The sequence below is a fragment of the Homo sapiens genome, chromosome 2 (assembly GCF_000001405.40).
Source record: "Homo sapiens chromosome 2, GRCh38.p14 Primary Assembly".
NCBI classification, from domain to species: domain Eukaryota; kingdom Metazoa; phylum Chordata; class Mammalia; order Primates; family Hominidae; genus Homo; species Homo sapiens.
This window is the reverse complement of record NC_000002.12, coordinates 179,528,412-179,555,595: the sequence shown is the minus strand read 5'-3', so window position 1 is coordinate 179,555,595 and position 27,184 is coordinate 179,528,412. Positions and strand designations below refer to the sequence as shown.

General features: G+C 35.5%; 1 protein-coding gene across 21 annotated transcripts in view; it reads left to right on the top strand.

Annotated features, from left to right (window-relative positions):
• ZNF385B (zinc finger protein 385B) overlaps positions 1-27,184 on the top strand; it is a 419,631-nt gene that overhangs the window by 306,017 nt on the left and 86,430 nt on the right. For 16 of the 21 annotated variants that reach the window (NR_148054.2, NR_148056.2, NR_148058.2 and 13 more), the window contains one exon: positions 10,627-10,769. The exons of 4 other annotated variants lie outside the window; for them this stretch is intronic. Coding sequence is in view for 12 of the 17 variants with exons in the window: in NM_152520.6 (NP_689733.4) it covers positions 10,627-10,769 (143 nt within the window). In the remaining 5 variants the exon portion in view is untranslated. Of the gene's footprint in view, positions 1-10,626; positions 10,770-20,807; positions 20,890-27,184 lie in introns of all 21 variants that reach the window. One more of the 21 variants, NR_104234.2, reaches the window with a different exon arrangement.

The window sequence follows — 27,184 nt, the reverse complement described above, 5'->3', positions numbered from 1 at the left end:
TGACAGTATTTGAAGATATTCTTATTGGGAAATTTTGCCTATATTTGTCAAAACATTTTATTAGAATTAATAGCATTGACTGCATTTTTTAAAAATTCTGCTCATTTATAACATACAGAAAAGTGCACATAAGTGTGCAGTTGAATGAATGTACACAAATATAGCATACATGTGTAGCTGGCCCCCCAGATCAAGGAAAGAACATTTCTGGCATCCTAGAAGACACTCTGAATGCCCTGTTTTAGTCCTCTCACCCTCCACCTCATCCCATCCTTTCTATAAGGAAAGCCACTATCCTAACAGAATAAATTACTTTGCCTGGTTTTACGCTTTATATAAATGGTATCATACAGCATGTACTCCTTTATTTTAGTTCTTTTCTTCAACGTTATGCTTGCAAGATCTATTGGTTGTTGCATGTAAGAATGTGCCATTTGTTCTCATTGCTGTATGTCATTGCATGAATGTTTCATCATGCAAACATACAAAAATTATTCTTTCTATTGTTGATAGATTAACTGGCTAGTTTCCAGTTTGAGGCTATTATGAAGAATATTGCCATAAGCATTCTAGCACAAATCATTTTTGTTAGTTATATACCTAGAAGTGAAATTTCTGGGTCATAGGGTATTTATATATTCAGCTTAAATAGATATTGCCAGGTAGTTTTTCAAAGTAGCTGTGACAATTTACACTTTAATATAGAGTTCTAGTTGCTCTGTATCCTTGTCGACACTTAATATTATCTTCATCTTTCTTCATCAAATTGAACCATTCTTGTGGATATGTAGTGATACCTCATTGTAGTTGTAATTCACATATTCCTAACTACTAATGAAGTTAAGCACCGTTTTTGTATGTTTATTGGCCATTTTAATATATGCTTTTGTGAAGTATCCAACTCTTTTGCCCATTTATCTAGTGTTATCATTTTCTTATTGATCTGTAGGAGTTCTACATTCTTACTAATAGAATATATTCATCAATTTTTTTCTTTTATGATTAACATCTTTTGTTTCCTGTTTAAGAGACCTTCGCTTAGTCCAAGGTCACAAAGATACTCTGTTTTTCTATTTTCGGTTTTACCTTTTAATCCAGAAACCCTAAGAATACCTTGAAAGCCTAAAAAAAGTTAACCTCAACATGTTCTGTTTTCTCTATACTTTTTGTTTATACAGTTCCGCTCCACCATTCTTCCATATATACCCCTCAAACACAAGCCATTCCTCAAAGTTTATCTTAAGAGATATCTCATCTGTCGAAACATTTATGAACCCCATTTATGAACCAGATGCAATTTCTTTCTCTCTTGAACCTACTTAACATTTTTTTGATAACACATGACCCCTGCCGTTTATGGTAAGTATTAATAGATTTAATTATTCATGCTCTCCTGGGATATGGCATAGTGTCAAGGATTAGGAGTAGTTAGTAACCACAGTAACTGAAGCTTATACAATACTGGCTATGTATCAGGCACAGGTTGAGGAAATTTGCATAGAAAAACCTCAGTTAGTTTTCCCACCCATCCTATGATATAGCTACTCTTATTTTTCTTAATTATAGAAAAGACAGTGGAGGTATAAATAAGTAAAATAACTTGTCCAAGGTTGCACAAGAAAGCAGTGCTCCCAGGAGTCTTCAGCTTCTAACATATCTGTCTGCTGAGTTGGTGCTTTTAACAGGTGTAGAACAGTGTTGCCTGTGTCATCTTAATTTAAAAAAAAATTTAAGGCTTGATTCTATGCTAAAAAAATTGAGGGAAGAAATTTTTTCTGCCTAGATGTCCACAGTGCCTGTTAGTATATTAAAAACTCTAAGATGCGTTGCAGAAAAGAACCGCTTTAAGCTTTGTTGAAGCAACATTTTCTAAATGTATTTGATGACAGAATCTTTTTCATGTAACAGCTTTACATATAACCTACTTTAGGGAATGATGACATGGGCTTTAAAGTCAGATGGACAGGAGTTTGGACCCAGGCTCTGCCACATACTGAGTGATTTTAATCACTCTAAACCTCACCTTTCTCATCTGTAAAATGGGAATAATAATATAAATATCATAGAGTTGCATTATAATTTAATAAGAATAAGGGACATAAATCACTTAGCACGTTACCTGGCATGCAGTAAAATCTCATTAAATGGTAGCAGTTGTTATTATTATTTTCTTATCTTAAAAAGTAAAATAAGTTCTGACACAGTTCATAATCCCTGTCATTGCTAGCACTGTGCCTTGTTAGTCCCTCATAAGTATTTATTGAATCAAATAATACTATTATTTGGGGAAGATTCTTTTTAGATAAATATATTCATTATATATCTTGGTTATTTAAGTATCAGATACTACACTAAGGTCAAATAAGTTTCAACTAATTCCCAGTTGAATACTATATCTGTTTGGAGGTCCAGTATTTTAAATCTCTCAGGTTTATGGTAAAATGCTTCTCCCTCAGCTGGAGAATGTATCTATATGACTGGAATGTTTTCACCTATACAATTTGGTGACCATAGCATGGTAGTGAAAAGCAGAATTCAGAAGTCAAATAGCCTGGGTTGTAATTCTGGCTCCTCTACATACAAACTATATGAAGTTGGGCTTAATCTCTCTGTGCCTCAGTTTCTCATCTGTAAAATGGGGCTAATACCTTGTTAATCAGATTGCAAGGACTAAATATGTATAAGTATATATATGAGTATATGTAAATGAGTATATATACCTACAATTGTAATGAACTTAGGATAGTGCCTGTTACATAGTATGTTCTATAAAAATGTTATCTCTGTTATTGCTATTATGAGACCTTTTCAAAGGCAAAATCCTTTATCAGTCACCTCCCCTATTCATATAGCCACCTCTTAGTGGCCATGCTTTGATAGTCTCTTGGTAAATTATTTTCTTCACCTAGCAGATTTATGAAAGAAAAGAAATGCTGAGAGAAGTGGAGGAGATGCGGTGATGGCAATTATCCTGATGAGAGAAAAAATATACAGTATTAGGTGTAACAAAGCTGGGAAAGCAATGAAAAAAGAAAACTGAGTATGGCAGAAAATCTGAAATGCCACTCATTTAAATTTCTTTAAAGAAATCTTTTGGAGTTCTATAATTGATGTTGCCTCCCCTAACAGGTTTTTATAATACGTTAAGTTTTTAATTTCAGTACTCACTGATGGGAACATGCATAATAATGGCATAAGAAGAAACTACTCCTGCAGGATATAGAATATATACAGATTTGATCTCATTCTGCAAATGCTTCTTCATGCATATTTGTTGACTCTGGCATACTCTTTTGAAGAATGAGGTGTTTTCTTTGCTTCTGTTTTGGCATATAAAGAAGAGCCACTAGGAAGTCTCAAAGTTATAATCTAAATGGGCTTTTAAGATTATATATCTAAAGGCCAAAGACTAAGGCAATAATTTCAGGTGTCATCTGTCCTTAAGTAAGGTTGTATTGTGATGTATTATGACATAATCCATTAACATAATAAGGTACCTATTATGTTACAGAGGCAGTTGGCTGAAATAATAGTTTTCTTATGATCATATTAGGAAATTGTCTTTTACATATTATTGGTTTCATAGCTATAGATGAATCAACTTGTATTTTACCATCAAAGTGAAATGTATGCAAGAAATTTAATTACATTCTAATGGGAATTCATATTCATATGAATACATGGAATTTCCATGATAAGAGTGAAACTGGTGGACTAAAGGAGATCCCCAAATGCCTGTGAGACCTGGACTCTGTCTGGTGTCCAGACTCTCGATGCTGTTGTGAGAAGGAATTCAAGGACAAATTGGGATAGAGTGAAAGTACAGATTTATTGCAAAGTGAAAAGTACACACTTAAGGAAGGGGATTGTGGGCATACTCAAGAGAAGTGAGTCACACCACAGGGTTTGGAGTTTCTATATTTATGGGTATCTTTAATCAAGTGGTGGGATATTCATGAAGATTCCTGGAAAGATATGAAGATTTCTTGGAACTGTGTGCTACCCATTTTTACACCCAATATGGGTGGTCTCAGAACTGTCATTACACTGGTGGGTGTGTGATTTAGTATGTTAATGAGAGTATAATGAGATCTTAGGTGAAACCTAGGTCAAATCCAGTGCCATGTTGGGTCCAGTTAGTCTTAGCCAGCTTGGCCCACACCTTCGTTTTTCAGGGTCTTATCAGCCCCTACCTTATGCAGCTATTTCAACAGTTTTCTTCTGCTAAACATGTGAAACTGCTGTCTGGAATTTTCTATTCTCCTGTGACCACCTTGTATTACTCCTGTCTCAAGAGTGTTAAATTATTCCTGTTAAATTTTTGGAGTATGCCTGCTTATATATGTGTATTTCATTTTAGTACAGGAAGTTTGATAAATATATGCATTCAGTGACATGAAAAGTTTTATTATCAAATAGGGCGGCACCCTATTTTGATTTTATTCATTATGACTTTATTCATTATGATATATACCAGATTATATACTATGTTCTGAAACAGAACTACAAATAGGAGGTGTCTTACGTAATATTGCCAGATAGTTTATACAAAAGTCAAAGGTTGGTTCTGTCCCATGAGAATAGCAACGTAATGGGTATATTGTATCACCTTTTGCATTGAAATGCCTGCTCATTATATTTTCAACATTTTTTTCTCAGCAAGTCCTTCACTTTTAGAGAAATTAAGCATTTTCTTTCAGAGTGCAATGCATTTTGGCCAAATTTCCGCTTGTAACTCCTGCTGACTTTCAGGCACCCAGAGGTGAGAAGAAAGGATTCTTAGCAGCAGCAGCAGCAGCAGCAAAATCTGAAATATGAAGACAGAGAGATCAGAGCATGAAATAACTTGTTCAAAAAAATGCACTTTGTCCCTATTTATTTACCATTTGCAAAAACAAGCAATAAGTCCTGGTGAAGCAGTATTAAAAAGTAGGTTTTAAAATTGAAAACAGCAAGGTTGAGGTGAAGGATTAATGAAAGTATAGTTTATATTTATTCAGAAGATCTACCAGTACTTTAAAACAATCTGTGTTTAACATGGCAAATTGTCTGTCATTAAAATGCTAATGAAATGGTAAACAGCTGCTAAGTTTTTTATGCTAATGAGTAGTGGCAGCTAAGTAGTTCTCAAGCCTTGTCTTTATTAGCATAGAGATTTGATTGGGTAAGGGGGATCATTGCGCATTCCAACCTTTGTTGATGGAGTAATCTGTTTGTGAAGTTCCCTGTTGCATTCTATTTGATTTGGGTTTGTTATTACAAAGTGACTCTCACCAGGCCCTAGGGAGCCATGTATTACACAGTATTATCAGAGCCACCATTGTGGGCTTAGAGAAAGAACTTTGCTTCCCTCCAGGAGACTCACAATGGCAAAATAATTACACATTTGTTTATCATTCAGCTTTAAGTACAATTAGTCTATACCTTACTTTAGACTTTTAATGATTATAGTAATAATAAAATAGGCCATTGGGCTAACATAAGAAATATCTCTGTTTTTTAATTTAGCTAAGAGTTTAAAGCAAAACTTTTAAAATATTTTAATAAGTGCCCCTGCAACATTTGATATATTTATATAATACATCATCTTAGATCTACAAGCACTGAAGTTAACATTACCTAATTTGAAGAGTAATGTGTAATTAAATACAGGGTGGTTATATGAATGACAGGCTGAGATCAGAGTATTTACTTGAGCATCAGAAAAAAAAAAATTACTCTCAATCTATACTTTTGGCTGGTTCTATTTTTGCTGAATGCTACTCTGTCTTCCCTAATGGATGGGGCTGACCTGAAGACTTGCCATTACAGATAAATGCTTCAGGCACCCTTCTCTCTTTTTTCTCTTCTGTTTTTAGGATCAATGTAAATGAAGTATGACAGTCCATTAAACACTATTGCCAATAATGTTCTGGAACGATTTGAAATATGATGCAGAGTTTATTAAGAAAATTCATTACCAAAAAGGATCATTGAAATAGAAATTTTAATGAGTCTGGGAAACTGTGTAAAACATTGGTGGAAATTTTAATAGTTGGAGCATTATCTCATACTGTTCATTTCTCCTTGAAGTCAATAGGGGATGTTAGGTATATAATTATTGTGTGGTCCTGTATAGGCAGGCCAGGAAAAATTGGAACCCTCCTACACTGATAGTAATCATGTAAAATGTTTCAGACCCTTTGGAAAACAGCCTGCCACTTCCTCAAAATATTAAGCCATTTAGTTATCAGATGACCAAACAATTTCCAAAATTTGACACCTAAGTATATACCTGAAAGAACTGAAAACATATATCCACATAAGAACTTGTACATGAATATTCAAAGTAGCATTGTTTATAATAGCAAAATAGTGGGAGTAATTCAAATGCCTATCAATTGATGAATGGATAAGCAAAATTTGGGAAATCCATACAATGGAATATTATTAAGCCTTAAAAATGAATGAAATTCTGATACGTGCTACAACATAGATAAACCTCAAAAACATTATGTCAGATGAAAGAAGTGAGTCACAAAAGACCACATCACACATTATATGATTTCATTTAAATGAAATGTCTAGAATAGAGAAACCTAAAGATAAAGAAAATAGATTAGTGGTTGCCAGGAGCTAGGGATATTAGGAGGAAATGGGGAGTGACTGCTAACGGATAAGTTTCCCTTAGATGTCATGAAAATGTTCTAAAATTGATTGTGGTGATGGTTCTACAATTGATTTGGTTTAGCCCAAACCTCATCTTGAATTATAGCTCCCACAATCCCCACATGTCATGGAAGAGACCTGGTGGGAGGTAATTGAATCATGGGGGCAGGTTTTTCCCGTGCTGTTCTTGTGATAGTGAATAAGTCTCATGAGATCTGATGGTTTCATAAAAGGCAGTTTCCCTGCACACACTCTCTTGCCTGCCACCATGTGAGACATGTCTTTGCTCCTCCTTTGCCTTCCACTATGGTTGTGAGGCCTCTCCAGCCATGTAGAACTGTGAGTCCATTAAACCTCTTTTTCTTTATAAATTACACAGTCTCAGGTATTTCTTCATAGCAGTATGAAAATGGAATAATATAACAACTCTGTTAATATGCTAAAAATAATTGAATTCTACAATTCAGATGAATTGTCTGGTATATGAGTTATACCTCAATAAAGTTGTTATATTAAAACAAACAAACAAACAAACAAACCTTACATGCCAGAGTCTGCCTACCAGAGAGCTACCTGCACCAGCAGTTACTTTTCTATACTACATGAAAGTTATACACTAAAGAAGGATGCTTGTTACTGGAGAGGAGCATTATAAATCTTCTACTCATGCATTAAACCAGATATCTAAAGAGGTGATAGCAGAAGTTCTAGCCAGAGTATTTAGACAAGAGAAAGAAATAAAGGGCATCAGATTGGAAAGGAAAAAGTCAAATTATCATTATTTGCAGATGGTATCATCTTATATTTGGAAAAAACTGAAGATTCCACCAAAGAACTAGAACTGATAAACAAAATTAGTAAAGTTACAGGATACAAAATCAACATACAAAAATCAGTAGCATTTCTATGTACCAACAGCAAACAATCTGAAAAAGAAATCAAGAAGGTAATCCTATTTATAATAGCTATAACTAAAATTAAATGCCTAGGAATTAATTTAACCAAAGAAGTAAAAAATCTCTACAATGAAAACTATGAAACATTGATGAAAGAAATTGAAGAGGACACACACAAGGAAATGGAAGAATATTCCATGTTCATGGATTGGAAGAATCAATATTGTTAAAATGTCCATACTACCCAAAGCAATCTACAGATTCAATGCAATCCCTATCAAAATACCAATGACAACATTCTTCACAGACATAGAACAGACTATCCTAAAATGTATATGGAAGCACAAAGGATCCAGAATAGCCAAAGCTATTCTAAACAAAAAGAACAAAACTGGAGGAATCACATTACCTGACTTCGAATTATTCTGCAGAGCTATAGTAACCAAAACATCATGGTACTGGCATAAAAACAGACACATAGACCAATGGAACAGAATAGAGAACCCAGAAATAAAGCTGTACATCTACAGTGAACTCATTTTTGACAAAGGTGTCAAAAATATACATAGAGGAAAGGACAGTCTCTTCAATAAATGGTGCTGGGAAAACTGAATATCCATATGCAGAAGAATGAAAGTAGACCCCTATCTGTCACCATATACAAAAATAAAATCAAAATGTATTAAAGACTTAAATCTATGACCTCAAACTATGAAACTACTATGTGAAAAAATTGGGGAAATTCTCCAGGATATTGGAGTGGGCAAAAATTTCTTGAGTAATACCCTCCAAGCACAGGCAAGGAAAGCAAAAATGGACAAATGAGATCACAAGTTACAAAGCTTCTGCACAGCAATGAAAACAGTCAACAAAGTGAAGAGGCAACCCACAGAATGGGAGAAAATATTTGCAAACTATCCATCTGATATGGGATTATAACCAGACTCTATAAGGAGCTCAAACAAGTCTATTTTAAAAACCTGAATAAAAAATGGGCAAAAGATCGGAAAAGACATTTCTCAAAAGAAGACATACAAATGGCAAACAGGTATATGAAAATGTGTTCAATCATTATTGATCTTCAAAAACAGACAAATCAAAACTATAATGAGATATCATCTCACCCCAGTTAAAATGGCTTTTATTCAAAAGACAGAATAACAAATGTTGGCAAGGATGTGGAGAAAGAGGAACCCTCCTCCACTGTTGGTGGAAAGGTAAATTAACACAGCCACTAAGGAAAACAGTTTGGTTATTCCTCAAAAAACTAAAAGTTGGGCTACCATATGACCCAACAATCCCACTGCTAGGTGGGTATATACCCCAAAGAAAGAAAATCAGTATATCGAACACATATCTGCACTCCCAAGTTTATAGCAACACTATTCACAATAGCCAAGATTTGGAAGCAAACTAAGTGTCCATCAACAGATGAATGGAAAAAGAAAATGAGTTACATATATACAGTAGAGTACTATTCAGCCATAAAAAGAATGAGATCCTGGCATTTGTAACAACATGGATGAAACTAGAGGACGTTATGTTAAGTGAAATAAGCCAGGCACAGAAAGACAAACTTCACATGTTCCCACTTATTTGTGGAGCTAAAAATTAAAACAATTGAACTGGACACAGAGAATAGAATGATGATTACTAGAGGATGGGAAGAGGGCAGGGGAGTGAGAATGGTTAATAGGTACAAAAATATAGTTAGAGGCTGGGTGTGGTGGCTCACACCTGTAATTCCAGCACTTTGGGAGGTCGAGACTGATGGGTTGCTTGAGCCTAGGAGTTCGAGACCAGCGTGGGCAATGTGGCAAAAACCCCATCTCTACAAAAAATACAAAAATTAGCCAGGTGTGGTGGCATGTACCTGTAGTCCCAGCTACTTGGAAGACTGAAGTTGGGGGCTCACCAGAGCCCAGGGAGGTCGGGGCTACAGTGAACCATGATCACACCACTGCACTCCAGCCTGGGTGACAGAGTGAGACCTTGTCTTTAAAAATAGTAATAATAAAGTTAAATTAAAATTAAAAAAATAAAAATATAGTTAGAATGGATAAGATCTAGTATTTGATAGCACAACAAGCTGACTATAGTCAACAATAACTTACTGTGCATTTCAAAATAACTAAAAGAGTATAATTGGATTGTTTGTAATGCAGAGAAAGGATAAATGCTTGAGGGGATGGATACTTCATTTACCCTGAGGTGATTATTATGCATTGTGTGCCTGTATGAAAATATCTTGTGTGCCTCATAAATGTAGGTACCTATTATGTGCCCACAAAAGTTAAAACAAAATTTAAAAATAGTCAACAAAACAAATAGAGGTGACAGTTAATTTAACTGCTAAAAAGGATATTTGCTACAATAATACAAAACAAATTAGAAATAAAAAGTTGAAAACAAAAATTTGAATCCCTGTCCTAACTACTACCTGTCCCCCAACACCCTGTCTGAAGCCAAGCCATAATCAACCCTTTTAGTCTTTAACTATCCAATGTCTAGACTACCCATTTACTTCAAAGTAAGAGCAACTTTCAGAAAGTTTGTTTTTTTTTTAAGAGAACAAGTTGAATCATAACTTTGAGAGCAGACAGTAACTATACAGGTTCAAGTTTTCTTTTTCTTGTAAAAACCCTATATTTATCTCTGATTTGCATAAAACCTGTCCACTAGCCATTCAGTAATTCTTAATAGCAAAGAGTGTCTGGCTTCAAGGGGTTCCTCCCCTCTTCTCTCCTGCACTTTTGGCGAGTCAGAGGCAAAGCGTTGGCCAACAGGACATTCTCATTCTGTCTGACCCTCCTGCCAGTAGGATCTGTCTACTAGGTGTCCTGGCTGAATCTGAGCACCCCTCAGCCCTTGCCCATAGGGAAGCATTGTGCACCACTGTCTTGGATAATGAGGAGGAAGATCCTTTTTATTGTGTTTACTACTCCTGTGCCATTTGCTTACTTACAGCATAACTCTCTTGCTTGCAAGTTGCAGCTCAACAGACTTGTTCTTGCACTGTAGGTTTGGGAGGGAGATGGATGTGAGCAAGAAATTGAATTCATTTTTGTTTTGTTCTTGGCAGGCAGTACATGCCACACTACTACCCTTCCTGCTCTTGTGCGCACACCTACCCTGATGATGCAGCCTTCACTGGATATCAAACCATTTATGTCTTTTCCAGTGGACAGTAGTTCTGCTGTTGGGCTCTTTCCAAATTTTAACACAGTGAGTAAATTCATTTCTATTTTATTTGTGTCCTCCTCCATCAATTTCATTACATTTGTGAATAGTCAATAGATACAGCCTGTTTCCAAAGTGTGTAATTTTAGACCATATATTGGTTATGCTGCTCAGTTGTGCTATGAAAGATGATGCTTCACCCATGGGAGTAGCCCAAACAATAGCCAGTATGTTTATTATACAAATATTTCCACAGAAAATATTTTCTGAAAAATTTTCACCTGTTGTGTTGCACAATTTTCATAGAATTTCCAGTGGCTTTAGAACATACATCATTTCTGGGATGTTATTCACATGCTCAGGAATACAATTTAGAGATACCAAGACTCATTGATTTTTCCCTTCTCTTAGAAAAAAAAAAATGACTGTAGGATTTATCTCTCTGGCTGCATTTTTATTTGGGAGATACTTTAGATAAAATGTGAATCCTACACAAACAAAATTTCTATTTGGGGGCTATTGTAGATGACGTGAATTTGACTCTATTAAGAAAAAGAAAAACACTCATTTTAAATCTACATACTAGTGATCTGCAAGACACTTTGACATTTTAAAACATAGGATAAGTGTTAGTGAATTACCTATAATTACTGATGTGCTTCAGCTCAGCTGACCTTCTTTTATTTGAATGAAAAACATTTGTAGGTGTGTCAAGTGGAGCATGACATCTTTCAACAATATAATTTAGCATAAAATCAATCTGTAGCCAGATTCTAAACCTTATAGTAAAATAAAATGTTCACAGTTCAGGTGAATGCATACATTGTCTGCTTGATTGTTAAATACAGTTAGTTGGGGCATGACAGTCTACATTAATGATACAGCATTGTAAATGCTGCTGTAATAAAAAAAAATTGCATTATCAACACCACCAGACAGCAAGCATCTGAAGTACTGCCAAATGTTTCATTTTGCAAACCTATCTTCTGTATGAAGTGAAAACAGCAAGAGGATTTTTCCTTAAGGATTGTCAATAAAATCTGCTGACAGGCCCTCTGTCAGGGCTTAGTGCTGGAAGGTAATTAGGGGGTAGGGCATCAGCCAGCTTTTTACAGAGCACTGGCCTTGATGTAGTGAGTAAACAGTTAAATGTTTTTGTCTTCTTTGAGCTTTTCAGAGACAAGTCAAACAGTTAAAAAAAAAAAAGTTACAAAAGGCGAGCATTGTTCCTAGAGCAGTGGAGTGGCTCAATAGGATAAATCATGCCTGCCTTGGTTTCATTGATCCACCCGCTGCATCCCAGAACACCACATTACGCCATTTCAAAGAATGCAAACTTGAGGATGCCAGTGGTATCCTCTATTCAAACATGTGTGACACATTCCAATCATAACTGAATTAAGCTATACTTCATAGAACATTTATGAGGTATTTGTGTTTTGATTAATGTGCCTTTGGAAGTTAGCATTTATAGCCATTGCTGAAGTCTAGTTGCTGTCAGGAAGCAGCATTCATGATGCAAGTAGTCATAAATGGCTTACTGTGGCTCACCTCTCTTTATTTTATTTTCTTTTACTTTTTATTTTATTTATTTATTCATTTGAGACAGCCTTGCTCTGTCGCCCAGGCTGTAGTGAAATGGCACGATCTTGGCTCACTGCAGCCTCCACCTTCCAGGTTCAAGTGATTCTTGTGTCTCAGCCTCCTGAGTAGCTGGGATTACAGGCGCCTGCCACCACACCTGGCTAATTTTTGTGTTTTTAATAGAGACAGGGTTTCGCCATGTTGGCCAGGCTGTTCTCAGACTCCTGGCCTCAGGTGATTCACCCTCCTCGGCCTCCCAAACTGCTGGGGTTACAGATGTGAGCCATTGCTCTGACCTCTTTATTTATTTATTTTTTTAACATAAATAATACATGAATACTTACTCCAAAAATTCAAATAAAACTTTAGCATTTGAGGTAAAATTAGAAAGTCATATTCCATACCCCTGCACATACTTTTACTTCCTTCACTAGCGGAAGGTGGTCAGCAACTGGTATCCATCCTTCTAATCCCCTTCTGGAAGTATGTTATACATATACCTAAAAGGTACCCAGTCACAGTTTTTTTTTACAATTGCGATCATATGATTAGCACTAATCTGTTAGTCACTTTTTTTGTTATCAAAATGTCTTACATCTGCCTCTCTGTTTTGAAGAGCTGTAAAACAAAAATGGAGAGAATACCTTCATAAAGGATTTTTAAAGATAAAATTACAATTTCATAATGGTTTGTTCATGTTGCATAGAGGGTACAGATGCACTAACATGTCATTTGGTTTGTTTGATTAATTGTACACAGCAATTAATCTTATGATATATTTGAGAAAACCCAAAGAATAATTATATTAATAGAAGTTCATTTTTTTTCCTTCTTGGAAGAGTATAAACATAATTTTCAAATAAAAATACTATTTGGCTAAGGTGAAGAATACCACAAAGAACTACATGAAATAATTATTTTACTCTCCCTGTATTACATGTGTGGCATTTATCAAACAGGAGCCCTTCTAGTAGTGTATTAAATATTAAGTCATTCCAAGTGGCACCCTCTATCATCTTGCAGGAAATAAATTTATGAGATCATTGGGTGACCTATGATTTTTCCCTGTGAGTTGCAATTTAAATTACTCTTAATTCTTTTCCTACAGACATTTCCATTCTAGTGTCCAACTCACCCAATAGAATACCTAAGGGAATGTCATGAAAGTTATTGTCCACATTTTCCTAGGAAAACGCTATTACATCACCACTAATAAGTATACTGGATTATTGTATATTTGTGATGTTTTACATCTCTCAAAGTACTTAGACCTTGAAACACTTTGGCAGGCAGTCATTATTACTCTTATTGTCTAGAGGAAGAAAGAGAGTTATTGAAGGAAGAACTGAGACTTGAATTAGAATCTTTTTAACTTCAAAATTCATATTCGGGCTCTTTACGTCCTTGAGTCTTTTGGCCCATATCACCTTCCACCTCATTCATTGTGAACAAAGCTCAATCAGAAATCTTTGTGCTCTTTTCTGGAAGTGTGGAAGGCAATTTTCAGCAGAATCATTAACTAGAAGGAGGAAATGGTTTTTTTGAATGTGTATAATAGACCTCTACAAACAACACGAAGCAGAATATATTTGAAAAACAGCTATAATTTCTTGTTGGCAAATTTTTAAAGTATATTGTACTCAATTGTCCACTTGTTCTTTGAAAACTAGGTGAAATCTACCTTATCGTTTTATTTTTAACCAAGGTTAATATTAGCAAATATAAGAAATGAGGTCAGTTTTAATCTTATAATTATTATCAGAAGAATGAAAACACTATGCTCTGAGACCATAGTTGAAAGTTTTGGAGGTTTGATGTTTTGTTATTCTCTTTAAGTAGATTTTTAAAAACATAATGTTTTCCTCTTTCTTATAGTGAAGTATGATAACATTATATGATAAACATAGCAAGAATGAAATGAGATCTTATTGTATTCCAAAATAGAACAGATGCCTGTTCTATGCTAAGTTGTACCTGATGAAGAAATATGCTTCATGGTGTTCTTTTAGTGGTTGCCTTGCCTTATGCACCACAACTGACAGAATCTCTCTCAATGCATATGTATGTAAAAATAAGCAAAAAATTTTAGTCTTTGTATAAGCAGAGTTTAAAGAGACATGATAAGGAAGACGGAGTTTGAATCGTTGATGATTTATGATGGAGTACATGTCAAGGACACATGCTTGGAGGATGATGATGTTAACTCTGTGCTTCAGCAGTGTACTTTACAGAGACACAGTTTTGAGTCATTTATAGGTAAAAGCCTGTGTGGACCAAAACATAAAGTTTTAAAGATCTTGATCTTAATATTCCAAAGCCTGTGCCTGGCTACCCACTAATGCTCATTTTCACCATTGCTACCCCACCTTCAACTATGTGTCATTCAAAGTTCAACTTAGATATCACCTCCTTCCCAGAAAGTCTTCTGTGACTCTTCAAGTCTGAATTAAGTCCCACCCTTTGTGTTTCCAAAGTAGCCCCAGATTACATTAATTATAGCAGTTGTCACACCATAGTTTAATTACCTGTTAATCTGTCTTCTTCACTAGAACATCAGATCCTTGAGGACAGGGGCTCTATCTTATTCATTTTAGTATGATGGGTGTCTGACACAGGTGCTCAACAACATTTTTTGGAAGAGAGGAAAGGGTCCCAGTTCCTTGGTTTTCAATGTTCATACTCCCCCATCTATTAAAGGGAATAATAACATTTATGAGTCCCTTCTAAGACCAGGCGATAAGCCCAAGTGTTTAACTTAATTTATATTTTCCTGAAAACTGTGGTTTTTTTTGTTGTTGTTGTTGTTGTTTGGTTGGTGTTTTGTTTTGTTTTTGTTTGTTTGAGACAGAGTTTCACTCTTGTTGCCCAGGCTGCAGTGCAATGGCAGGATCTCGGCTCACCGCAACCTCTGCCTCCCGGGTTCAAGCGATTCTCTTGCCTCAGCCTCCCGAGTAGCTGGGATTACAGTCATGCGCCACCACACCTGGCTAATCTTGTATTTTTAGTAGAGATGGGGTTTCTCCATGTTGGTCAGGCTGGTCTCCAACTCCCAACCTCAGGTGATCCTTCCCACCTTAGCCTCCCAAAGTGCTGGGATTACAAGAGTGAGCCACTGCGCCTGGCCAAACTGTCACTGTTTTTTAATCTAAAGGCAATAGTTATAAACTGTCTTCCAGCTATAGTGCCCAGCTCTCTCTGTTTGGCTGGTGTATGAATATTGGCAAGTATTTACTACATTCTTTGTCCCAGACCCCAGCTTTAAGAGTATTTAGTTAAAAACAAAATTGTTAGTTACTGAGTTTTATTGAAAATATATGTAATAAAGAGTGTTGGGTTTGGGGAGAAGATAAGCAAATTAAATAAAACAAAAACCCCCTTGTGCCCAATAAACTTATAAGGAAAAAATGAAGTAAACAGACTTGATAAAGCAAGATAAAAACCAAGAAACATCAGCAAACTGAAAATCGCTACCAAAGTTTATAGTGTTCAAGAAACAACAGAAAAAATCTTTTTTTCTATCTTAGTAGAGATGTTTTCATTTTTTGTTATTAATTTTTCTTTAGATTTGCCAATTTATCCATGGTCATTCTTTAATGACTGTATATAATGTTGTGGGAGCTGCCAAAATACACACAATTGTTTCTTACATTAGAATTAGGATCTCCTATTTCCTTTATTGTGGATTAAATTTTCATCTTTGTTCACAAACAACTGGGATAATACTTGGTGTTTAGTTCCCCTTAAGAAGAGACTTCTTCTGAATTGAAATAAATTGAATACTTACCAAGATGGATAATATTAATTTAATATGATAAAGTAAGTACATTTATAAGACATATTTACATATGTAGATTGCTATGAACTGAATGTTTATGTCCCCTCAAAATTCATATGTTGAAGTCATAACCCCCAATTTGATAGTGATGGTATCTGGAGATAGAGCCTTTGGAGGTAATTAGTGTTAGTTGAGGTCATGAGGGTGGGGCCCTCATGATGGGATTAGTGCCCTATAAGAAGAGCATAGAGAGCTTTCCCTCCTCTTTGCCATGGGAACACACAGTAAGAAGGCAGCCAGCTGCAAGCCCAGGAAGACAGCCCTCACTCGGAACCCCACCATACTGGCACCTTGATCTTGGACCTCCAGCATCCAGAACTATGAGAGAATAAATTTCTGTTTTTTAAGCTACCCAGTATATGGTATTTGGTAATGACAGCCTGAGCAGACTGAAACACATACCCAACTTACATGATGTGACAGTAAGTAAGTGAAGTTTATTTTTAGCACCTGCACATTGTGTACATGCATATGTATTTGTGTAACTGTTCAGAGCTATAGCTATAATCAAGAGCTGACTTGGGACCACAGCCACCTGTCAATTTCTCTGCCAATTGGCAGGTGTTTTATGTGCCTATTTATTTGAAATGTTTTTGTGAGTCCTGCCATGTTTTTACAACTGCTCTAGGAAAGCACAAGTACAAGGGCAGTCACTACTACTTTATTGCAGGAGGCTCAACAATCTTAATTTTGTGAAAAATAATCTGATTTTTACTGCCTACCTTGAAATTATTTTTTTCCTGAGACATGAGCAAATATGTGGGACAGGATAAAGATGATTTCAAAGTATAAAGTTCCAAACCACTGTATGATTCTGTGAATCATCCATGACAAGTTATGAAATGATTTATATGATTACCATTTATTTTATCATTCTAGAACCTCTGAGATTCTGACTCATTTGTGGTTTGGCAATATTGATGAATATTTTTTAAAAATTTTTTTCTTGTAGTATAAATAATAATATATTCATCAGAGAGTTTCTAAATAAAGAAATTGGGAATCAAATTCACATTTGCTTTGCTTTTAATTCGTGCTATGCTTCCCATGAAGTGTTGTTGTAAGGAAACCTAAAGCTAGGACATTTAACTTTTTACCCTGCCTTTAATATCTTTATCTATTTAATGAAGTCTTTATTTAAACATATGAATATGTATTTTTCTCTTATTTGTATATTTTTAAATTTAAGTAGAATACTTTTGCAACCCAAATGTTAATTTTTGCCCTTTGAGTCTTCGTCACTCTAATAGTGCTTGCTGTCATTAAAAATTATGTATTCCATATTTCTTAGGATACTAGTATGTCCAACTGACTCTGCTTGAACTGACACATTTATCCCAGTCAAATAAAAAAGAAAATATGGTTGAGTTTTTATTTTTTGTGACATGCTTTTAAATATATTGAAGGATTATCTTGTTCTATGTTTTCTAAAGGAGTGCATAGAACTAAAATATGCCAAGATGAAATTTTCCATGGTTACTCAAAATCACTTGAAGAGGGGAGAGGTTGATGGCCTATTGTTAGGCTTAGATAACTCAACAGCAACATTCCCCAGATCATTAGAAAAAAAAATAGTTATAGGGAATCTTTGAAATGTGGTACAAAACTAACAAAGATTTTGTACAAATATTTAAGCATTGATTTCTATGCCTAGAAAATTTTACATTTCTATTAATTTTTTTTTTTGTTTGTTTGTTTGTTTGTTTGTTTTTGAGACAGAGTCTTGCTCTGTCACCTAGGCTAGCATGCAGTGGTACAATCTCAGCTCACTGCAGCCTCCACCTGCCAGATTCAAGCTATTCTTCTGCGTCAGCCTCCCAGGTAGCTGGAACTACAGATGCACGCCACCACACCTGGCTAATTTTTGTATTTTTTGGTAGAGACAGAGTTTCACCATGTTGCCCAGACTGGTCTCGAACTCCTGAGCTCAGGCAATCCGCCTGTCTCAGCCTCCCAAAGTGCTGGGATTACAGGTGTGAGCCACCATGCCCGGCCCATTTCTATTAAATTTGACAGAGAGAAAAAGTATGTAAATATACCATGGATGGGGAAAAAACACATAGTGACCATCTGCACTATTGTGTCCCTCACCCTTTCTTTTTCCTTTTCTTTTCTTTTTTATTTTTTTTTTATTTATTTTTTTTTTTTTGAGACAGAGGTTTTGCTCATGTTGCCCAGGCTAGAGTACAATGGCACAATCTTGGCTCACGGCAACCTCCACCTCCCAGGTTCAAGCGATTCTCTTGCCTCAGCCTCCCTAGTAGCTGGAATTACAGGCATGTGCCCGGTTAATTTTGTATTTTTAGTAGAGACAGGGTTTCTCCATGTTCATCAGGCTTGTCTCGAACTCTCGACCTCAGGTGATCCTCCCGCCTCAGCCTCCCAAAGTGCTAGGATTGCAGGCATGAGCCACCTATCCCGGCCGTCCCTCACCCTTTCAAACTACATGTCCTTTTAAACTTTAACTCATGTCCCTTGCCTTACTCAAAAGCCTCAAGATTTATCTTACTAAGGGCTTTGTTTTCAAATCTCCCTCTTCTCTACTTACTCTTGAAACACCTTTAGAGTATGCAGATGTTATTTATATGGTATGTATTTATTGTATGTTTGTATAATGCATAGTCACATTTTTTTCTCTTTAATAAATTGCTTTTTCAGGGCATCTAGTAAAAGTCACTCATTCACAACCATTTACTGCATGTCTACATGTCCCTGGCATTGTGCTAAGGAGAAAGGTTATTGTGATGAATTAGACAGAAGTTGCTCTCTGTCTAATAGAAATTGCTTCCTCTTGTATAATTCACCATAACATAATAGAGGATTGTGGTCATAGTGAACAGTCAATTCATTTCATAAAAGCTGCCTAAAAATATCAGATTGAGACTTTGATGGTCCTTTATGAGGTAAAAGAATGTAAAATTTCAGGAGCCTGTGAAAAGAGGCATCTGTAGACCCACCATGCTGTGTCCTCTTGTATGTCCCTTTCTTTATCCTAGTCCCAATGTCACATGGTTCTGGGGCCTCATCTTCAGTGCTAGAGTTTCAAGGATTATGTGTACTTGGAGGGGACATCAGATTTTCTGGCAAGACAAGTCTTTAGTCTTGGCGCTGTCCCAGGTCAGCATTTTTCAAGAGTAGAGTCAACTTGGAAAAAGTGTCTATGTTGGGCCCTCTTCTTAAAAATTTGTATCTTATTCTACACTAATATTCTTAACAAATCTACAGATAATTAAAAAAAAGAATTAGAAGAAGAAGAGGAAACAGGAAAATTTTAAGAGAAAAATTCTTAGCTTCTCTCAGTGACCAAAACTTTATGTCTCTGTGGTATGGTAGCCAAGCCTAATAAATACAAAAAAGTAGCAAAATGTTATTGTATAAAACATTCCCACCAGCTCAGAAAATGTATTTCTAAATTAGTTGCTCTATAAACTTTAATCAGTGATAGTGGCCTCTGAAAAACTTTTATCAAAAGCTTGCGAACCCATCCAACAACGCAGATCTGTTTTTACTTCCACCTTCTAGATTTTTGTGTTTAGAATTAAGTCTCACATCCCTTGGGGGTTGGAGAGACATGCTTTGGAATATTCTGGTTCCTTTACTTTTATAGTTGCTTTTGAGGGTGCTAAAGATGAATTGGAGTGCTGTTTAGCAATCTGTGAAGTTTCAACATCTTTGTAGAGCTCAGTAGGAATCTTGAAAAAACACTTTTTACAGATTTGCTTTCAATTTAGGTTTACCTTCCTTTTTATGTTCTGATACTTGAAATTTTTGAAAGACACAAATCATATAAATGATACCATTTTCATGAAATTCTAGTATCAGAGGGATTTAGCATATTTCAAAGACGTTTTACATTGATTCTTTTAATGTACCCACATATGAAATAGATTACATGTGTCATTGTTGTGCCCTTTTTGCAAATCAGAAGATTGAAGAATAGAATTGAGTCTTCTCATTTATTCTAGTAGAGAGCCCTACCACTGAAAAGGAAAAACAAAAAATCTAAATATCAGAAAAGCAAAAGCTGGTCTCCACCATACTATATCTTGAACTTAAATATGTGTACTTCTCTCAGGTTATTCATGTGCGAAATATTTTTTTAAGTACCCAATAATTCCCATGGCTTCTAAAGTCAAGTTGAAAATTCTCCTTTGCAGTGTATTTGATTCAGGAGATAGATTCATCTTGTCAGCCTGTACTTGTTTTCTCTTATTGTGAATACAGTTTCTTGAGCCAACTAAAGATCTGAGTGGTATTATAGAAAATATACCCGATATTTTTCACAGGCTTATGATTTACAAATAAGTAGAGGTGCATAGAATGAAATTCTCAAAACACATGTCTGGGGCCTACTTAATTTCTGTGTTTTTCCCAGGTAGACCCAAACTTCTCTATATAAGATGGTCCATTGCCATTATAGTATGATCAAATCCATAAATATCTACATTTCCCAAAATGAGCTGAAGCTGTTAGATGCTAAAATGATTATGAATGACTGCTATCACATGGCACATTTTTGAAGCACTTACCTTTTGAAGGAACTAGTAGCATTTATTTATTTAGTCAGTCACTCATTCATCAACTATATCCTACCTTCTCCAAAAAGCCATTTGGAGAGTTCTTTGGGACCTCAGAAAAGTAACTCTACTTACTTTGTTCTAAAGTAAACTTCTGACCGTCCTACCTGGGCTTGCCTCTGTTCATGCTGTCCGGGGAAGCAGAAACCAGAATAAAGGGGAGAACAAGGTAGGTGATTCACTTCATTGTATAGGGAAAAAAAGCACCGGACTAGGAGTTAGAAGACTGATGTCTAGACTCATAGTCTTTGATCTCAAGAAAGTCACTTTGTGCCAGTTTTCCTCATTTTCATGATGTAATACCTTCCTATTTTTACATCATGAAGATTTGAGTTTATTATATTTATGAGGAATTGAGGGTATATGACTGAATATTTAGAAAATTTTTGGAATTTAATGAGAGGCTGTGAAAAAATTATAAGTATATAACATATCCCCATGCTATTTCTAATAACTTAAAATACCTATAAATATCAAATGAGATTATGTTTACGAAAGGATACTTAAAACAGCAAAGCTCTATTCTTACAATATTGATAGTTTAATTAATATTTCTATCCCTTTTATCTCTTTTTCCTAATTACCTCAAATAAACCAAGTTTTATATTTATCACTTGGGCTGGCTGTGTACATTACAGCAATCCTAATTAAGGTAGATGCTAAAGATATATATATGGCTAAGACCTTGAGTTTAAGAACATAACACTCCAGTTTAAAATAGTTATTCCTGGTACTTAGCAGGTGCTCATTTTATGTTAGCTGAATGAGATAATGCTAGAGCATACTTAAAGATCACAGTCACTTGACTGCCTGGAAACAGTACAGAGGTGCTGCCGCTGAATTTGGAGCAGGGATTGGAAGAGAATATATTAAGTGGAGGTTGGGAATAAGCACAACCAGTTTGAATGGATTCTATTTTACCCTATTTACCTCCAGTGATATTTAGGTTTCAAAGGCTACATGCCATTTTGAACCTGAGAGCTGTGTCCCTATGATACATTGTCATAGAGTAGTAAGACATAATGTTTCTTGCTATATTTTTAAAATACTGTTGACTTCCAAATATAGACCCCTTATTCCCATGTTATTCATTAATCAAATTGCAACTAGGTTAAAATGGCAATTTAAAACACATTTTAAACTAAGTCATAATAATCAATATATCAAATTATCCTTCATGTATTGATAATAGAAATTTATTCCAAAAATCCCTTGAACTTTGACTCTTACACATCTCCCTTTACCCTACCCACTCCTCCCCCTCCCACACACCTGTTTTCCTGAATTTAAATTGCCAATCACATGAAAAGGACCCCCTTAACCTGTGCTCCGAGCATGGCGTCTAATTGTAAGTTCGCTGCCTACTCAAAAAAGATTAGTAGTCTTAGATTCTATCCCAAAGTATTATATAGACCTCAAGGGTATGTACATATGCATAAAAAATATTTTTTCTCAGAATGCAAATATCAGCCTAAATAAAAAATTTTAAATTACACAGACTAAGATATTCATAGCTCTACAGCTGTTAGAACAGCAGATAAATCTACCAGTCTTTAGACTTCTGAGGTGGTGGGGGGAGTAAAACTGATACATCTTACATCAGTTCCCTCAGAAAAGAACTAGGTAGAAAGACAGCCTGTAGCATAGAGCTCATTACTTCTTGTGCAATCAGACCTTCCATTGTTTTCAGAGAGTGCTGCTGCCTCACAGGCCTGGCCCCTTTAATGGATGAGTAGCTTCTAAAGAAGCATTGTGACACCCAGATGTAGAGTTCTTTGAAGCTATGCATCTGGGGAACCTTCATTTTGTTACAGTGCAAGGGTAATGTCAGAATTTCCTGGAGTCGGTCATCACAGGAAATTATCAGCAATTCATAGACTCCCTTTTACATTTGCTTCAGCCTCTAGGGTAATCACAAAAGATTACAGTCTCCATTTCAGCTCTCATATCACTGAAATATCCTCTGCCGAGAGCATGATTGATTTCCAGAGGCCAGCTTTTAACCTCAGCTTTGGGAGGGCCAATGGAACTGTAGTGGTTTGATAACTGCCAACAACTGACATTGTGATATTGTTCTATTGTGAGGCAGAAATTTGGTGATTCTTGACTAATTATACAAAATCTTTTTAATAAAGTGGCATATCAGCGTCTTGTGTTGTCAGGTGTAGGTATTTGTCTGATTATAATTAGTATTACAGGTTGTGGGGAGGCAGAAAGGTGAATAAAAATTTCAGATGAGTTTCATGAAGACTGAAGGGCCAAGCATCCTGCTAGACTGAATTTCAGGAAAGAAAGCAGAATAATTCAGAAACATTTCTGAAAATCTTTATAAGGAGTGAATAGATTGTAAATACAAATGATTTTTGCCTCTTAACAGCCTTTTTGTGAATGTTACGGAGACACTTGACATGTTTCATGACAACTTGCTACGTGGTTCATGTAGGTTTCTCTTCATTGTTTGATTAGGAATTCTTGGTGCCGTATCCATGGCCAACATATAAGCAAACTGGATGTGTTTTTAACTTGGTGATTTCATTTGCTCTATTTATTTTCCTCTTACATATGTGTTAGTCTATTCAGAACATATAGAGGCAGAGAGGGCTTTGCGTATATTTGAAATAAATTTGGTAAATGAAATAGTTTTGCCTGGAAGTAACTACATTTCCTTACAAATTCAGAAGAAAAGACAGTTCAATTTAAACTACTTTTGGTTTGAACCATAGCCTCCTTGCAGTCACGTGAGAATAATTATAAATCAAATGGACAAATGTTGAATGTCAAGCTGAACCATTAACAGAGCCTTATTCGATAAAGCGATTATCACTGCAGAGCAGAGTGAAGCACTCTATTAAAGGTCTTTATTTTACTTTACAACTATTGTATATTTTGTACACTATAAATGCAGAGACAAATTTAAACCAAAAATGTTTTCCACTAAGAAGAGCTATTATGTGTACACATACCTATTTATACAAAAGGGCAATAGCAGATGAACAGAAGACATAAAATATTTTTGCTATCAACTTTCCACAGAACCACTCAAGGACCACTTTCCTAGCTAAAGCCCTAAAATGTTAAGTGTGACAAAGTGAGCCTGTGAGGAGGAGAAGCAGTAGAATCAACATTGATATCACTGTGACATCCTTGGGTGGGAATCAGGGAAGGGGAAACAGCTCTAACTATAGGATACCCAGTTAAAAAGGATATTTATTTATATATTTCTATTTATTTATTTATTTTTGAGATGGAGTCTCACTATGTCACCCAGGCTGGAGTGCAGTGGCATGATCTCGGCTCACTGCACTTGAACCTCCCAGGTTCAAGCGATTCTCCTGCCTCAGCCTCCCCAGTAGCTGGGATTACAGGTGCCCACCACCACACCCAGCTGATTTTTGTATTTTTACTAGAGATGGGGTTTTGCCATGTTGGCCAGGCTGATCTCAAACTCCTGACCTCAGGTGATCCTCCCACCTCGGTCTCCCAAAGTGCTGGGATTACAGGCATGAGCCCTACTGCACCCAGACTAAAGAGGAGTTTTAGATAAACAGCAAACAAATCATTTTTAATGTCAGTATGTGCCATGCAATGTTTGGCACATACTTTTTTAAATTATTTGCTGTTTACCCCTAAAATTCCACTTTAACTGGACATCTTATATTATTACTTGCTAAATCTGGCAAACATAGAAGGAGATCTGGGTTCAGGTGTTACCTGAGGAGGCTCAAACAAGTCACTAAAATTCTCCAAATCTTTCTTCATTTTCAAGCGAGAAAGACTAAAATCAGGCTGGTAGATCTGGGGCCTGATCTGTCTGCTTTCACCAGAACTCAGTTTCTAAAAACTGAGTTTTATTCTATTGAGTTTCCAGTTAGGATTTTGTTTGGGTGGGTGGGGAGGTTCTGGGGCTTAAACGAAAACAATTTTTTTTTGAAGTTTGAAAATGTAGATGATCCCTGACATTTTACCACTGTGTAACGGTTATGTGGCATGTGGAATTAAGGGCCCAAAATGTTTAAGATTAGAACACTGCACATTTGTTAATTTGTCTAGAGCTTTACTAGTGCTCAATTGTCATATTTCTTCTTAGTGAAAGGGTAAGAAATGTGTTGGCCCCCATTATGGGGAAAAATGCTTCATTTCCACTTAGCTTTGCAAAATGAAGAAATATATTCGAACAGAAATATATTCAAAGGTCCAGGTTTCTCTTTTGCACTTCTTCCTGCCTGGAGGAGTTTTCTTTTCATGTTACACATTTTTAATTTTTGTCATGGACCTCAGCATCAGGATATATCTGATTAGTTACTGAACAGCCTTTCAAACTTAGCTTTGACAGAATGGTTTTGAAAGGATGTCAGTTAATGCATGTGGCTGTTCAGGAGATGTATTGATTTTTAGATCGAGAAAGTTTATTATTCCTCTAGTCTCTTAGAAAGCCCTTGTAACATATTTTTGAGCTCGTTTACCAAAAAACAAGCAATTGTATCCTATTTGGATTTGGAGATTTAGCACCAGTGTTTTTTTAAACTACATCTATAAGTATCAGCAAGTATTCTTCAGTTACTCGTATACTTTTTTTCCTCTCCTAAAAAATAAAGAATCCTATTTTATAAAAAGATATTTCTCAGATTTATTTTTGGCACTGAATTTTATGTTATGGAAATTTAATTTGAGGACAATTTTGGGGATTGTTTTCAAGTCACTATTTAAAAAGAAAACAAAAGGCCAAAAACTGTTTACTGTCTTTTAGCTCAGATATTTGGCCTGTCCTTTCAAACTTTGGGATGGATCTCTCTTCACATGTGCTATGGAATAACCATTTCTCATGACCTACACTCCAGTGAATCTCTATTTCACATTTTACACATCTACTGAAAAATTATTTTTTAGTCTGTATTCCTGAAATATTTCTCATTTCATTTCACCCGAAGGAGATACAATACTAAATAAGGAAACACCCAACCCATTTTATTTAGATTATCTTGGTGAATCTAGTTTCTGTTCCTATCACTCAGAATAGTATACTATAACCAGTTTTGTTCATATTTATCTTTGGGTGATAGAGTTTATTGTCAATTATATAAGTCTTGAGCTATTCGTTGTTGCTGTTTAAATATGAATATATCTCACTGAGAAGTATAAAGTATAAGTACTTTGAGGACAGTAACTTCTCCACATACAAAACATATTGATAGCACTTATCATCATTTTAGTTCTTCTTCTAGGCTACTAAAATTCACAACAGAGGTAAATTCTTATTAATTCCCTGAAAGATTTCCAGGTAGTTTTTCATTTTGCTTGAAACACCTATAATTTTCTCATATTTTTTTCAAAAGGGCATCTACTAATATCATATGAACTTTTTGTTATGCATGATCTTTGAAAGATGTTACAGATCTTTAAAATCTTATGTATACTTTGACCAAAAATTAGGAACATCAAATCTTGAAGATAAAATGAAAACCCTATCAAGAACTTTCTTAGCATCCTGATGGAAAAATACCTGTCTCCCCTAAAGATTTCCAGTCATATCTAAGCATTTGCTTATTCAAGAATGGAAACAAACAAAGAAAAGCACAGAGTTTTCTTAGAAGACATAATTCGGCTCATTACCTTAATTCTTTTTCCCTACATTGAAAACAGCAGTTGCATTTGGGGTTGAGGGTGGTCTGGGCTTCTTTAATAAATCACATTAACCAACCAGACCTTTCAGTGTGCATTTAAAACCTGAATATGAACACCTATGCGATAGAATTTCAGTTATTTAGTTTACTCATTTAAAACTCAAATAGGAACATCAACGCCAAAAACATTGCTGGGTGTTGTGTGTTAGTGACTATGAGGTATAAGTAAACATTTAATTAAGTCCCATACCCATTTCAGAAATAAACTGAAAGTCTTATTTGTTAAACTGAACTTTTTGAAAAGCTCTTTGAAGTGGCTTCTTAAATTACCCAGCAGCATAACTACAGCTTTGCTGCATCACTCTTGATCCCCGCAGCATGGAAAGTCACCAGGCATGTAGAGCTAGCCAGGAAAATGGAACATTTTAACATTTGGACTGACCATATTTGTTACACACAAGGATCTACTGTGAGAGTTAGACATTCAGCTCCAGTCAGGTACCCAGGCCTAACCTTATGGCATCTCCTATTAACAAAGTAACTATTGTCTGAAGAAGAACTTAAGAATTTTTTTTTCTACTCAGAACAGTTTAAAAGTTATCTGTCGAAAGCATTACTAGGTTTCCACTAAAGAGAAGGAGATGGTGAAATCACCAGTTCATTTGCTTTTAGCTTTTTTACTTTTACCATTTGGTAACTCCTTATGGTTCTAAAAGTATAAAAGATGAAAAACATTATTTTGTTGTAATATCCTCACACAAAACTGTTAGCTCTTAGACAACATATGTATTTATTTTAAAGACAAAAGAAGTAACTCATGATCATTTTGCTATTCACTCACCA